General features: G+C 42.3%; 1 pseudogene; it reads right to left on the bottom strand.

Annotated features, from left to right (window-relative positions):
• Positions 10,723-11,208, bottom strand: NOP56P3 (NOP56 ribonucleoprotein pseudogene 3; annotated as a pseudogene).

Raw genomic sequence — 15,473 nt, 5'->3', positions numbered from 1 at the left:
TCTCAGGTCCCAGGCAGAATGCTTACATGATTAGTGGTAGCAGCTGCCCTGACACCCTGCCACTGGAGAGGGCGAAGCTGGCCCCAGTGGCCACAGCCTGGGTTGGCAGGTAGAGACTGCATCCAACTCATGGCCCAGTCCTAGAAGGGCACAGGACTGGCAGCTGCAGCTCATATCTCACTGGCTGCTTAGCCCTACCAACAGGAGTGCTCCCAAGTTTGTGCCCCAGTTCCAGCAATGACAGTCTCAGTTTCCCTATTTCATCAGTACCGGTGCTGCTTGGATCCAGCACACAGTGCAGTCTGCCAAAGCCCAGGTTTGAAAATGATGCCTTGCTGTAGCCACTTAGGGCTCAGAAGGTATGTGAGACAGCAGTTCTGTCCCATGGTCTCTTGGCTCTACTGTGGTCAGGAATGCATAATTCCATGGTAGAGATGTGTACTCCTAAATGTCTCTCACCTCTCCCCACACTGGGAAGTCGCCCATGGCTCCCAGCCAAACAGACTGCCTTTGTTCCTTCTCCTTTTGTGCTTTTATTATCTCATGACACTTTTCTGTTAAATTCTAGTATTCTCTTTTGGATAGTTTGAAGCGTGATTGTTTATTATTATTATTATTATTTTTTTTGAGATGGAGTCTTGCTCTGTTGTCCGGGCTGGAGTGCAGTGCTGTGATCTTGGCTCATCACAACTTTCACCTCCTGGGTTCAAGCAGTTCTGCCTCAGCCTCCCGAGTAGCTGGGACTACAGGTGCACGCCACTATGCCCGGCTAATTTTTGTATTTTTAGTAGAGACGGGGTTTCACAATGTTGGCCAGGCTGGTCTCAAAACTCCTGACCTCGTGATCTGCCCCACTCAGCCTCCCAAAGTGATGAGATTACAGGCATGAGCCACCGCACCCTGCGTATTTTGGTTCTTGTAACTGGAGGAGGCTAGCATGAAATGCTTCTAGTTGGCCATCTTGAAGCCCACCTCCTATACATGAATTTTATTTTTGCCCAGAAGTCATGTCCTTAATGGCCAGTGCTATTAAGTACTTGGTGGGCAGTGAGAATCCCACATTTTCTCATACATTCTGATCCTCTAAAGCATTTGTAATTGTTTACACTCAGTTTGTGTTCTTAATTTTGTAATGGATTTCCAAATATCTGAGTTCCTATAGCTCATAAAATTCCCAAAGTCACCCACAATTAAATCTATTTATTCTTCCTGTGTTTTTCCTTCTGAGATCTGCAATTGAGGTGAAAGTACAGTGTACTTGACAAGCTCTTTGTATCTAGTTACTTGAGAAACACTCCCACTATGGTTGAAATCATCATCCTTTTACTGTTTTGGTGGGTGGAGGGGGGAATTGAATGGTCAAGACACTTTATTCTTTTTTTTTTTTTTTTTTGAGATGGAGTCTCGCTCTATCACCTAGGCTGGAGTGCAGTGGCGCAGTCTCGGCTCACTTGCAACCACCGCCTCCCAGGTTCAAGCGATTCTCCTGCCTCAGCCTCCAGAGTAGCTGGGATTACAGGCGTGTGCCACCATGTTCGGCTAATTTTTTGTATTTTTTAGTAGAGATGGGGTTTCACCATGTTGGCCAGGCTGGTCACGATCTGCTGACCTCAGGTGATCCACCCGCTTCAGCCTCCCAGAGTGCTGGGATTACAGGCATGAGCCACTGCGCCTGGCCGACATTTTATTATTTTGTTGTGATTCTTATGTAAAGATTTATTTCATTTGAGGAGAACATGTTGGGGAATTAGATCCAGTTTGGGGGATTTACTGTACCTGGCTCATTTATTAACTTAGAATAGTATTTATTTAGCCTTTTATACATTGATTTTTAAAAACTCTTAAAACAACTTAAATTCCCTCCTTAGGATACTTGAGAAGTTTCTGTTATTTGGCCTCACATGAGTTTATAACGTCTTCCTGACTGTTTAGAAGTTGATCAATCTATTTGAAGATGGGGAAATAAGGCTGAGGGAGATATTTTATTTATTTGAGATCTCATGATGATATAAATTAAATCAGATATTTACCAGTACCTGAAAACTGAGGTATCTAACCACTAATAAAATTAGTCTGCAGCACAGGTCTGTTTAGAAGAAAGACTAGGGATTACAAAATACTATCAAGCCATATGGTATAGGAAGTTATAAAAACTATTTTTTGAGCAGAGTAGAAATTAATGCTTATTTATTCTTGCCTCTTTAGAACATGATTTGAATTCAGCATTACAAACAGCTGTTGGAGGCCTGTTTCTTTAAGTATGATATGGTCCTTTTACTTCTGTATGAGAAGCACCAGGAGTGCATAGGAAATCAGCCTGGTTCCATTCTCAAAAAAGCTTACATATAGAGAACAGAATGTGCACAAGCAAAGGAGAGAGATTAATTCGTTCCTTAAAGGACTAGGAGGGACTTCTTTAGGATCTAGTATTTAAGGCAAGCTTTGAAGGAATTGAGATGGAGAGATTGGTTTCAATCAGAGAAATATTTAGAAAAATGCATTCAACATCTGACTGAACCATGGTTATTACACCTGAGTGCTGTATTTAAGGCTGTTTGTACAAGCACCACCTAATGAAGTGGTAGCTTCCAAATCAGACACACTTGAGCACTAGCTTCCAAGTTAGACCTACTTGAATTCAAATCCTGGCTCTACCACTACTAGCTCTGTCAGGTAGGGCAAGTTGCTTTACAGTTTCCTCTTCTACAGCAAGGACAAAATAGTGCCTAACTTGGTTGGGTCATCGTGAAGAACAAATGAGATAATGCATGTAAATTGTGTGAAACAATGCATTTTCATGGATAATATGGTTTATATCAGTAGCGAAGTTGAGAAGATTGTAATGGTTGTCTTTCCTGAAAATCTTTTTTTAAAAAAAGGTTATAAGGAAGCTTCTGGACTATTAACAAAACTGCCTTCTGGTCATAAATTTCTGCTTTTCTAGGAAGACTCTATGTCTCTTAGAAACCCAATTGAAGTAAATCAGAACTCTGTTCTAAAAAAGAATGCAGTATGTATTGACACAGATGTAATCTCTACAGTCCCTGGTAAATTGTAGCTACTGAAGAAATATTGAACAAAATCTTGGGTAAAGGAAAACATCTTTTAGAAAGAAAGTTTCTTGAGTTAGTTTACTTGAGAAGCTTAAAATATTTCCCCGTTAGGTTTCTTTTCCTCTAAATCTCTGGGTTCACCCTGGGCCTGTTTTCCTAGTAAGAAATGTCTCTGCTTGGACTCCTAAACAAATACATTCCAGGGAAGTGTCATTAACCAAGCTGAAACAGGAACTAAATAAACAGGATGAATTAGCTTGAATTCACGTGGGTTGGCAACAAGTCATTTTTTTTCTCTACTTCTCAATTTGTTTTTTCAGTGATCCTGATTACTACTTACAGGTATGTCCTGATAGCAGAAAACAGGAAGCATACCAAAGCAGGAAGTTCCTTGTCTACTGACCTGCTCCTGTTCCTGTACAACAAGAAGCATTTTTTATTGATTTGCATACGCATGCTTTAAGGCAGCAAGTATAGATGTTGGCAATAGGGTTTTTTTTTTTTTTAATCATTGCGGGAGAAGGTCACGGGGCACTTGAAAGGGTCTAGAACAAAACATTTTTTTCTGCTGAATTGCACAAGTTTGAAAGTAAGGTTTATTTTATGACCTAGAAAAAGACTTTAATTGGGAAGTGGATATTTTATTTGTCCAATTATATGTATTAATTTGAAATTATACACACAGGACAATTTCTTCATGTTGTATTTTTTCCTTATGTTGGATCTTATACTTACCATTATTAGACTCTACATATCTGATGAATACACTCTAGTAAGTAGGTCAGTACTCTTGTGTCTGGAATTGGTGGGTTCTTGGTCTCACTGACTTCAAGAATGAAGCCGTGGACCCTCACGGCGAGTGTTACAGTTCTTAAAGGCAGCGTGTCCAGAGTTTGTTCCTTTTGATGTTCGGATGTGTTCGGAATTTCTTCCTTCTGGTGGGTTCGTGGTCTCACTGGCTCAGGAGTGAAGCTGCAGACCTTCGTGGTGAGTGTTAAACAGCTCTTAAGGCGGCGCGTCTGGAGTTGTTCGTTCCTCCCGGTGGTTTTGTGGTCTTGATGGCTTCAGGAGTGAAGCTGCAGACCTTCATGGTGAGTGTTACAGCTCATAAAGGCAGTGTGGACCCAAAGAGCAGTAGCAAGATTTATTGTAAAGAGCAAAAGAACAAAGCTTCCACAGTGTGAAAGGGGACCCCAGTGGCTTGCCACTGCTGGCTCAGGCGGCCTGCTTTTATTCTCTTATCTGGCCCCACCCACGTCCTGCTGATTGGTCCATTTTACAGGGAGCCCATTGGTCTGTTTTACAGAGAGCTGATTGGTCCGTTTTGACAGGGTGCTGATTAGTGTGTTTACAATCCCTGAGACAGACACAAAAGTTTTCCACGTCCCCACTAGATTAGCTAGATACAGAGTGTCAATTGGTGTATTTACAAACCCTGAGCTAGATACAGAGTGCTGATTGGTGTATTTACAATCCCTTAGCTAGACATAAAGTTTCTCTAAGTCCCCACTAGACTCAGGAGCCCAGCTGGCTTCACCCAGTGGATCCCACACCGGGGCCACAGGTGGAGCTGCCTGCCAGTCCCACGCCGTGTGCCCACACTCCTCAGCCCTTGGGCGGTCGATGGGACCAGGTGCCATGGAGCAGGGGGCAGCACTCGTCGGGGAGGCTCAGGCCATGCAGGAGCCCACGGCGGGGCGGGGGTGGGGGAGGCTCAGGTATGGCAGGATGCAGGTCCCCTGCCCCACGGGGAGGCAGCTAAGGCCTGGCAAGAAATCGAGTGCAGGGCCGGTGGGCTGGCACTGCTGGGGGACCCAGCGCACCCTCCGCAGCTGCTGGCCCGGGTGCTAAGCCCCTCACTGCCTGGGGCCGCTCCGAGTGCAGGGCCCGCCGAGCCAACACCCACCCAGAACTCTAGCTGACCCGCAAGCACTGCCTGCAGCCCTGGTTCCCACCTGTGCCTTTCCCTCCACACCTCCCCGCAAGCTGAGGGAGCCAGCTCTGGCCTCGGCCAGCCCAGAGAAGGGCTCCCGCAGTGCAGCGGCAGGCTGATGTGCTCCTCAGGCGTGGCCAGAATGGGTGCAGAGGCCGGGGAGGCACTGAGAGCGAGTGAGGGCTGCGAGGGCTGCCAGCACGCTGTCACCTCTCACTCTGCTCAGCATAAACATGAGATGTTTACTTGTGATTATGTGAAATTTGTGGAATATAAGAAATAAAGTTTAATCTCTAAGTTCAGGGCCAGGCAGGGTGGTGCACACCTATAATCAATCCCAGCATTTTGAGAGGCGAACACAGGCAGATCACTTGAGCCCAGGAGTTTGACATCAGCTTGGGCAGCATGATGAAATGCTATCTCTAATAAAATTACAAAAAATTAGCTGGGCATGGTGGTACATGTCTGTGGTCCCAGCTACTCGGGAGGCTGAGGTGGGAGTATTGCTTGAGCCTGGGAGGTGGAGGTGGCAGTGAGTGGAGATTGTGTCACTGCACTGCAGCCTAGGTGACAGAGTGAGACCCTGTCTAAAAAAAAAAAAATTCAGACCTAGTAGGAACTATTTTTCCATGAGTGAGATTAAACAGAAGAAGCAGGAAACAGAGTCTTTTTAACTATTAATAAAAATATTGGGGACTTTTAATACAGATTGATAGGGATTACCAAAGATAATACAGATTTAAAGAGGTAGATGAATTTTCTGGACAGTGAAAAGATGACCAAGACATTAAACAGAAAAAGACATTTAAAAGGCACACTTTTTTTGAGACAGGGTCTTACTTAAATTGTCACCCAAGTTGGAGTGCACTGGCACAATCTCAGCTCACTGCAGCCTTCACCTCCCAGGCTCAAGTGATCTTCATGCCTCAGCCCCCACAAGTAGCTGGGACTACAGGCTCTTGCCATCATGCCCAGCTAATTTTTGTATTTTTTGTAGAGTTGGGGTTTCCCCTTGTTGCCCAGGCTGGTTTTGAACTCCTGAGCTCAAGCAATCCATCCACCTTGGCCTCCCAAACTGTTAGGATTACAGGCGTTTTGAGCCTCTGTGCCAGGCCTAGAAAAAACGCCTTTTAAAATATTATTCCCCATTGAAAAAAAATTCAGTGTCCAAAGGAAACAGCTATTTCTAAAATAGTTGCTGCTATCTCTAGAAATAAAACTAGAACATCCCTTTTTTCTTCTTGATTTGCATCCCTTTTGATGTATATTCCAGTACTACATTGGTAGAGGGAAGCTTTTCAGGACTGTCAGCTAATGGTACAGAAATAATTGATTTTTGTTATCTGAATGCATTTCCCTTGAGAAAGGCTGTAGGAGGTATTCAGATACCTGTTGAATAAGTGAATACAGGAATGAATGAGTGAGAGACCTTGTCTATTGTACTTATGCTGACTCATCTAAGTTTTATGACTTTTAGCAAGTTACTTTACATACTGACGGCTCTATTTCCTTGTCTGTAAGGTGGAGTTTATAATACCTATTGCATATTTAGTAAACTTTTGTTGAATATTTCACATAAGCACTAGATCAAACTCAGATCTACTGAGTCGTTTTTTGGGGTGTGGGTTATAGATCTTTGTTCTCTTAATAGATCTTTGTCCTCTTAATAGGATCTACTCAAGGTTCTCATGCACCCAAAGTTTGAAAATTACTCATTTAAACTCTACTATTTATTGGGCAGGCAACTATAGATGCCCAAGGCAGGACTAACATGAATCAGATTGTTTCTGTCTTCGGTAAGTTTACATTTAGTCAGAGTATAGAAATAATGTGAACAAGCACAGAGTAAGAAGAGATTATTTCCCTTAAGGACTAGCAGGACTTCTTAACAATCTAGGATTGGTAAGGATTAAGTAAAATAATAGATTTTAAAAATGCATAGCCCAATATAAATCACATGGTAAATGCAGAACTATTGCTATTATTTCCACATACGCTTTTGTGTCCAGAATTGGTGGGTTCTTGGTCTCGCTGACTTCAAGAATGAAGCCGCAGAACCTCGTGGTGTTACAGTTCTTAAAGATGGTGTGTCTGGAGTTTGTTCCTTCTGATGTTCAGACATGTTTGGAATTTCTTCCTTCTGGTGGGTTCATGGTCTCGCTGGCTTCATGAGTGAAGCTGCAGACTTTTGCGGTGAGTGTTACAGCTCTTAAGGCAGCACATCTGGAATTGTTCATTCCTCCCGTCCAGAGTTGTTCATTCCTCCCGGTGGGTTCGTGGTCTCACTGACCTCAGGAGTGAAGCTGTAGACCTTCGCAGTGAGTGTTACAGCTCATAAAGGCAGTGTGGACCCAAAGAATGAACAGCAGCAAGATTTATTGCAAAGAGCGAAAGAACAAAGATTCCATAGTATGGAAGGGGACCTGAGTGGGTTGCTGCTGCTGGCTCGGGCAGCCTGTTTTTATTCCCTTATTTGGCCCCACCCACATCTTGCCGATTGGTCCATTTTACAGAAAGCTGATTGGCCAATTTTATAGAGAGCTGATTGGTCCGTTTTGACAGGGTGCTGATTGGTGCATTTAGAATCCCTGAGCTAGACACAAAAGTTCTCCATGTCCCCACTAGATTAGCTAGACACGGAGCACTGATTGGTGCATTTACAAACCTTGAGCCAGACACGGGGTGCTGATTGGTGCACTTACAATCCCTGAGCTAGACACAGAGTGCTGATTGGTGCATATACAATCTTCTAGCTAGACATAAAAGTTCTCCAAGTCCCCACTAGATTAGCTAGACACAGAGCATTGATTGGTGCGTTTACAAACCTTGAGCTAGACACAGGGTGCTGATTGGTGCATTTACAAACCTTAAACTAGACACAGAGTGCTGATTGGTGCATTTACAAACCCTGAGCTAGACACAGAGTGCTGATTTGTGCATTTTCAATCCTCCAGCTAGACATAAAAGTTCTCCAAGTCCCCACCTGATTCACGAGCCCAGCTGGCTTCGCCTAGTGGATCCCGCACCAGGGCCACGGGTGGAGCTGCCTGCCAGTCCCATGCCGTGTGCCTGCAATTCTCAGCCCTTGGGTGGTCGATGGGACCAGGCGCTGCGGAGCAGGGGGCGGCACCCATCGGGGAGGCTCGGGCCATGCAGGAGCCCACGGTGGGGAAAGCAGGGGGCATTCTTTGGGCATGACGGGCTGCAGGTCCTGAGCCCTGCCCCGCAGGGAGGCGGCTGAGGCCCGGCGAGAATTTGAGCACAGCTTGGGCGGGCCAGCAGTGCTGGGGGACCTGGCACACTCTCCACAGCTGCTGGCCCGGGTGCTAAGCCCCTCACTGCCTGGGACCGGTGGCACTGGCCGGCTGCTCCAGGTGCGGGGCTGCCAAGCCTGCACCCACCCAGAACTCACGCTGGCCCGCGTACGCCACACGCAGCCTGAGTTCCCGCCCACGCTGCTCCCTCCACAGCTCCCTGCAAGCAGAGGGAGCCGGCTCCAGCCTTGGCCAGCCCAGAGAGGGGCTCCTACATTACAGCGGCAGGCTAAAGGGCTCCTCAAGCGCGGCCGGAGTGGGCACCGAGGCCAAGGAGGCACCAAGAGTGAGCAAGGGCTGCCAGCACACTGTCGCCTCTCACTTTGACTACCTACTCCATATGTTACTTCTTAATTTGTAACTTCTATTATATATTTTCAAGAAATCTTCTCCAGCCAGTCAACTTATGAATTTCTTTGGGTGACTAGACTGCCTTTTCTGAAAGATTTTTGCAATTTTTTTTTTTTTTTTTTTTTACGGTTTTGGTGATGGGGTTCCCACGGGTGTGTTTTTTCTTTCACTTTTTGTAAATCAACTTTAGCATTTCCTCATTTTTGTTTTGTGATTCTGGCTATGCAAAAAATTTCATGAAAATAAAATTTAATCACAAATTCACGTTGTGTCTTGCTGTTATATCCTGAGACTCATTATGTGATTGAAGAAGATTGAGTTTCTAAACTGTAGACAAGAAATCCAGCCAGGCACAGTAGCTCACTACTGTAATCCCAGCACTTTGGGAGGGCCAGGCAGGAGGATCACTTGAGGCCAGGAGTTTGAGACCAGCCTTGGCAAAATAGCAAGAACTGTCTCTACAAAGCAAAACAAAACATCAGACCGGTGTGGTGGTGCATGCCTGTAGACCCAGCTACTCAAGAGGCTGAGGCAGGAGGATCAGCTGAGGTGGGAGGATTGCCTGAGCCCAGGAATTTGAGGCTGCAGTGATCCGTGATTGTGCGCCTACCCTCAGCTTAGGCAACAGAGTGAGACCCTGTCTCAAAAAAACAAACAAATCCACTAAAAAATCCATTTAGTTAACTCTTGTCAGTCAGGTTTTTCTGGTTTGTGGATTATCCAGATGCTGTGCTCTGCTTTTTACGGCTTTTCTTTTTTATTTCTTTGCTTATTAGGCATGAATAGAGGAAGAGAAAGAAGCAGATCTGATAAAATTCAGCATGGGAACTGAAGGAAACTGATAGCTAAAATAAGGCTCAGCTTAGAGAATTCTGCTGACGTTAAAGAGACTGTCACAGTTCTGTCTTGTTAGCAGTGGATGATCCTGGCATGGTTAGGATATCGATCAGATATTTTGACCTTTGATTCTGCCATTAACATACTGTGTAACCTGTGCAAACCAGTCTATTTGTGTAATAGGGAAAATGGCTACATAATATTGGATTCAGGGTCCAAAGGGATATCAGTAAAAAGAATTTAAGGAATTTAATGAATGTGTACACAATATTCTAGATACTAAACAAGCTTTAAAAAAAGTACCTTGTATGTTAACTATTGCGTGAGACAAAACTGAAATGAACTTTTCCTCTCTTTTTTCAGAATTCTTATACCAGTAGTACTAGGAAATATATACCAATTTTAGATTTAATGATTTTGTACTGGTTATAACATTTGAAGGACAATTTTTTATACCCATTTAATAGTGTATACAAACTGAGACACAGAATTTGAGAGATTTACCCAAGGTTTTCTAGTTAAGTAATGCTGAAATGGGGACTAAAATCATTTTTCTAATTTTCTGCTCATCAAATGACATGCTGTAACTAAACAGTGAACATTTTTGTTCTATTTATTGAAGTCTAATGTATTTATAGTCTCATGTTTGTATTATGTGTTTAATTTTTGTTTTTAAGCCAAATGGGGCAGATGATCTGTTCTTAAAGCAAAACCAAAGATTGAGGACTATGCAGGAATCTCTTGAATCATAAGGAGGAATTTTTTTTTTTTTTTTGAAACAGTTTCGGGCTCTGTTGCCCCAGGCTGGAGTGCAATGGTGCCATCTTGGCTCACTGCAACCTCTGCCTCTGGGGCCTAAGCTATCCTCCCACCTCAGCCTCCGAAGTGACTGGGACTACAGATGCACACCACCATGCCCAGCTAATTTTTGTATTTTTTTTGTTGAGATTGGGTTTTGCCATGTTGCCTAGGCTAAGGAGGAATTTTATATATGTGTACAGCTTTATAGTCCCAACCCCTAGAACAAAATACACAAAAGCTTAAATTTTAAACTAAATATTAATTGAGGAAAAGTAGAAAAGAACAGTGATCAGATAGTCTTAAGATTTGAATTCACCACTTAGAAAAAGGGACTTTGGACATATCATTTCCCTTTCCTGAGCCTCCACTTCCTGATCTTCAAAGTGGTCATAATAATTCCTCTCTTATTTCATGAGGGTGATTTGTGTGTGTGTGTGAATTTGTTTTTATTGGGGAACTGGACATGGTAGGAAATGTCGTCTTGGGCTATGGTATGCCCCGCCTCCCAGAGAATGTCCATTTGCATTCTAATCTTCCTGGGCTTCTTTATGGAACATTTTCTTCTTGGAGCTGCTCTTGCTGCCAGCAGCCTCTTCAGGTCCACTGCTGACAGGCTCCTCTTTGGAGAATTTCGTCTTTTTCTTGGAGACACTTCTGTTGCCTGCCTCTTCGGGGTCATTAACTGTTTCCGTCTTGGGTGAAGACTTCTTCCTCTTGAGAAGACTGGTGCTGCCAGCAGTCTCTTCAAGATCACTACTCATCAACTCCTCCTTGGAAAAAGATTTCTTTTTCTTGGGTTTGGAGAAAGAGATAGATGGGTCTTCTGTTTTCTCCTGAGGAACCTCCTGGGGCTTTTGCTTTTTCTTCTTTTTGGGTTTTTCACTCGTCTCCTCACACCTCTCTGGAGTACTACTGCTGTCAGGGTGATTTTGAGGACCAAAAACATTGTGAACGTTTGTCACATAAGCTGTAACAACATTAGTGACTTATCACTGGTATAAGACCATATGTAGCTATTATATTAGCTCTTTCACATTGTTAGCAAACAAAATTCTTTATTCTTTAGAAGTAAACCTTGACTTCAGAAGGTCTAAAATCCCTTGGATTAAAAGAATCTAAAAGCTACTCGTTGCCAAAATTAAAGGGGATGTTTTAAATTCAGCTTCCAAATTACCAAAAAATAAAAGCAGATAAAAACTAAAGTTTATGTTCACAGATTTTACAACATACAGAAAAAATCCTGTGGTAATGGGAGACTGGCTTCAGTGCAGAACTGAGCACCAGAAAGCAAATACTCTCCTGAAGTTTCTGCTGTTGTTAAAACTCATGACTATGAGAGGTCTATGTATAATTGTTGAATGAATGAATGAGCGAACGAATGATGAGTGAATGTGAATGCATCTGCTTCTCTGTTGGCTGCTTTTCCTGTTAGGAGACTTGATCTTTTAGCATTCAAATTCCACAAGAAACATCTTAAGCAAGTTATGTCTTTGGGTGAATTTGTTTCCAGGCTTGCATGTGTTTTTCACATTCTTTTTTTGGCCTGCAGTCTTACTCTGTGACCCCTTTCGTAGCTTCCAGTAGGTCATTCAGTTGGGACCCAAGGAAGTCAGTAAATTAAACTTGATTTGTAATGGAATACATAGGGTGTGTGGCTTGGATTAGAATCAAATTAGGTTTGGCTAATCTTATTTTGGTTTAATCTATGTGGGAAAGAATAGAACTAGAGGAAAAACAAATAAACAGAAAATAGGGAAACTATTCTTGTATAATGATAAGCAATTTTTGTAAGGAATAGTTCAGGGCCAAAACCTAACTTATTTTTATTGGAAGCCTGGGGACAAGATTCAGCAGAGGAATTTAAATTAGTTTCTCCAGTCATCATAGTTGGTATTTACTTTTCTAGCTTTCCCAAGCCAGGATCTCTAGGCTTTTAAAATGTGGATGCTCTATAGAGAAGGCACATTATTATTAATATAGTTCATGTTTTCAAATTTTTTCCAGGGCTCTGGAAATGGATAAGCCCAGTTTTTGGAAACCTTAGCAAATAGGCAGGCAAAAAACATTCTGATGCTGAGTTTATAGTTGAATTATCCAGACTTGGTCTTGAATTTCTCATGCAGGCCTAAGTAGAAGAAATGTTGAGAAAGTGCAGAAAGGTTCTATACTAATAATTTCTTTAAGGTGATCTTTTTTCCCCTCTTCAGTTATTTGCAGCTTGCAAGGTGTTAGACCATGGAAGATTTAACCTTGGTGTTCAGAGTTCAGGAAATCTCCTCTCTGACCTGGGTGAGCACATTTGAATAAAAAGGGAAATTTCTTCAAAGCTACTGGGGAAGGAAGAAGCAAGTGAAGCCATAAAGAGTGAGAGCCCTTTAATTTAGAGTTCTCACTGGGGCCTGGAGAAAATCATGAATGAGAATCCTTCTTGAAGAGAATTCCCTGTGATTGCTTAGTTAGTGCTTACAAAAGAAAGACTCAAGACTAAACATTCAGAAGGTGCTGGAATGTAATAACATTTGTTCCTGACAATTGAATTTCCTCTCTCATGGAAGTCATTGTTTTGCTCATTTAATAGAGAAAACTGAGTTTCAGTTAAAAGGGGGAAAAGTCATTACATTATTTCTAATTTTACATATTTTGACCTGTGGATTAAAGGTCTGAATTAAGGTCAAAAGACATCCGGAGATACAGAATTTTCCCCATACTTGACAGGGTTCTGAGCACCATCTTCCATTGATGTTGGCTTTATTTTCCTGAGCCCATAATAGAGGGGAATAATAATGGCTTTTCACCTGTCTAAAGCAGATGACTAGACCAAATGATTTTATACAGTTGTTTTTGGCATTCAGGTTGATTCCAAAGTAGCAAATGAATTATGGCTTTGGTTATTTTTCCAGGGGCAAATCTAGTTGGTAGCAATCTTTTAAAAGTATAAATAACTTTTGACTGCTACCACAATACTTAAGTATTTTTAAAATTATTTTGTTATATTTTCGACATATAAAATGATTTTCTAAACACACACTGTAGATATAGGTTTGTAAAATAAGAAAGGTCCAAGTACCCACAGGCCAGTGCAAAAAGTAAACAGGATAGCATCATTTGATTCTGTTTTGGAATAAAATGTTATTTCATTTGTTCATGTCTGATTTTCTCAGATGGCTGTTTTTATTTGTTTTTTGTTTTTTGAGACAGAGTCTCGCTGTCACCCAGGCTGGAGTGCAATGGCGTGATCTCGGCTCATTGCAACCTCCGCCTCCCGAATTCAAGTGATTCTCCTGCCTCAGCCTCCTGAGTAGTTGGGATTACAGGTGCCCACCACTACACCTGGCTAATTTTTGTATTTTTAGTAGAGACGGGGTTTCTCCATGTTGGTCAGGCTGGTGTCGAACTCCTGACCTCTGGTGACCGCCTGCCTTGGCCTCCCAAAGTACTGGGATTATAGGCATGAGCCACCGCCCCCAGCCTGTTTGATTTTTGAAATGAGATCTTAAAATGTAAATTTACTGGCTCAGGTGTCATTGATAATGTTTAACTTAAAACAATCATTGCTAATGGGAAAATGGCTAGATAAAATTAGCCATGTTCTAATCAGTGATCTTTTGAAAATGTTTATAAAAACATGGACACATGCAGATGCCTTAAATATTTTTTGAAACAGAGATGTTTGACTAAAGCAGATTTGAAAGTGCTCCCATTGTTAGAGTTTAAAAGGGAGGATATAAAGTTGCATATCTGATAAAATCACAACTAATAATTGTAGTAGGAAGAATTAAACATTTGTCCATATGTCTCAGTAATACAATCCCCTTTCCTTTTTCTACCTGTCATATTTTCAAAATTTTATTGAGCATGTTTGTTATGATGAAAAAGTACTCATTTATTTTTAAAAATAGAGTTGCTGCCATTTTTATGATGTTCAAATTGCTGTAGCCTTTATTCCAGTTGGATTTTTAGTGTGCTTCTGCCACCTTGTGCTTTCTGAAATCCACTGCAGTGATTAGCAAAGAAGGAAACAAACTTAACAAGGTTATTTCTTTGGGGTTAAATATTACTTCATAGTATGGGAGGAGGGGGAGAGGGATACATGAAAGATATAAAATGTGTGTGTGTGTAGAGAGAGAGAGAGAAATCTTTCCAAAGTTCTGACGATTGTTTACTATATTAGATCAGTGTTAACATTATATTTTATCTCTAGGAACTGCATCCTGGTTAAGGAGGAGACTAAAGACTGGGTTTTAGCGCTGATAGTAATCAACTCCTTCAGATAGGTTTTAAAACACATTTTGATACCTTCGATCCTTGCCTGTTTTTAAACTGTTTCTGTCTGCATAAAAACCTGAACAAAACACTTGTACCTAGAAAGCTCTAGGTAGCTTTTAAAACATGTTTCTTTACATTAAATGGCCTGCTGTGTTAACATGAACTCTTTCCACATTATCATTCCAGACAACATTCCATTTGTTCAGAGCATCAAACTATTTATATGGTCTGCTGCCTTGCAGTTATGCTGATTCTAGAAAGGAGAGCCTTTACCTGGAACTTTGGCCTTCCTGCTTGAGCATAAACAAGCCTGATTTGATGACTTGTCTGAGGAGCTCTCAGATCTTTCCTTTTAGGAATTAATTTAAATAAGTCTAACTTTTTGGTTTTGTTTGTTTGTTTGTTTTTGAGACAGCGTTTCACCCTTGTCACCCAGGCTGGAGTACAATGGCGTGATCTTGGCTCACTGCAATCCCCGCCTCCCGGGTTTGAGCAGTTTTCCTGCTTCAGCCTCCTGAGTAGTTGGGGTTACAGTCACCTGCCACCATGCCTGGCTAATTTTTGTATTTTTAGTAGAGACAGGGTTTCACCTTGTTGACCAGGCTGGTCTCAAACTCCTGACCTCAGGTGATCCACCTGCCTTGGCCTCCCAAAGTGCTGGGATTACAGGCATGAGCCACTGCGCCCAGCCCTAAATACATTTGGCTTTGAAATGGTATTTTAAGGAACCATGGATACAAATAACTTATGTTTGTCAACTAGCAAATACCTATTTCTAGGAAAATATGGAATAGTCCTCCTAGCTCACTAAAATTTTGACAGTAGCAGGCCTCACCCTTTGGTGTCATGCTTGCATTGAAGAATTATGATTGTGAGAGGTGACAACGTGCTAGCAGCCCTCCCTTGCTCTCAGCACCT

Source organism: Homo sapiens, chromosome 12 (genome assembly GCF_000001405.40).
Source record: "Homo sapiens chromosome 12, GRCh38.p14 Primary Assembly".
Lineage (NCBI taxonomy): Eukaryota > Metazoa > Chordata > Mammalia > Primates > Hominidae > Homo > Homo sapiens.
Note: the sequence above shows the minus strand (reverse complement) of the source record. Positions and strands in the feature narration are given on the sequence as shown.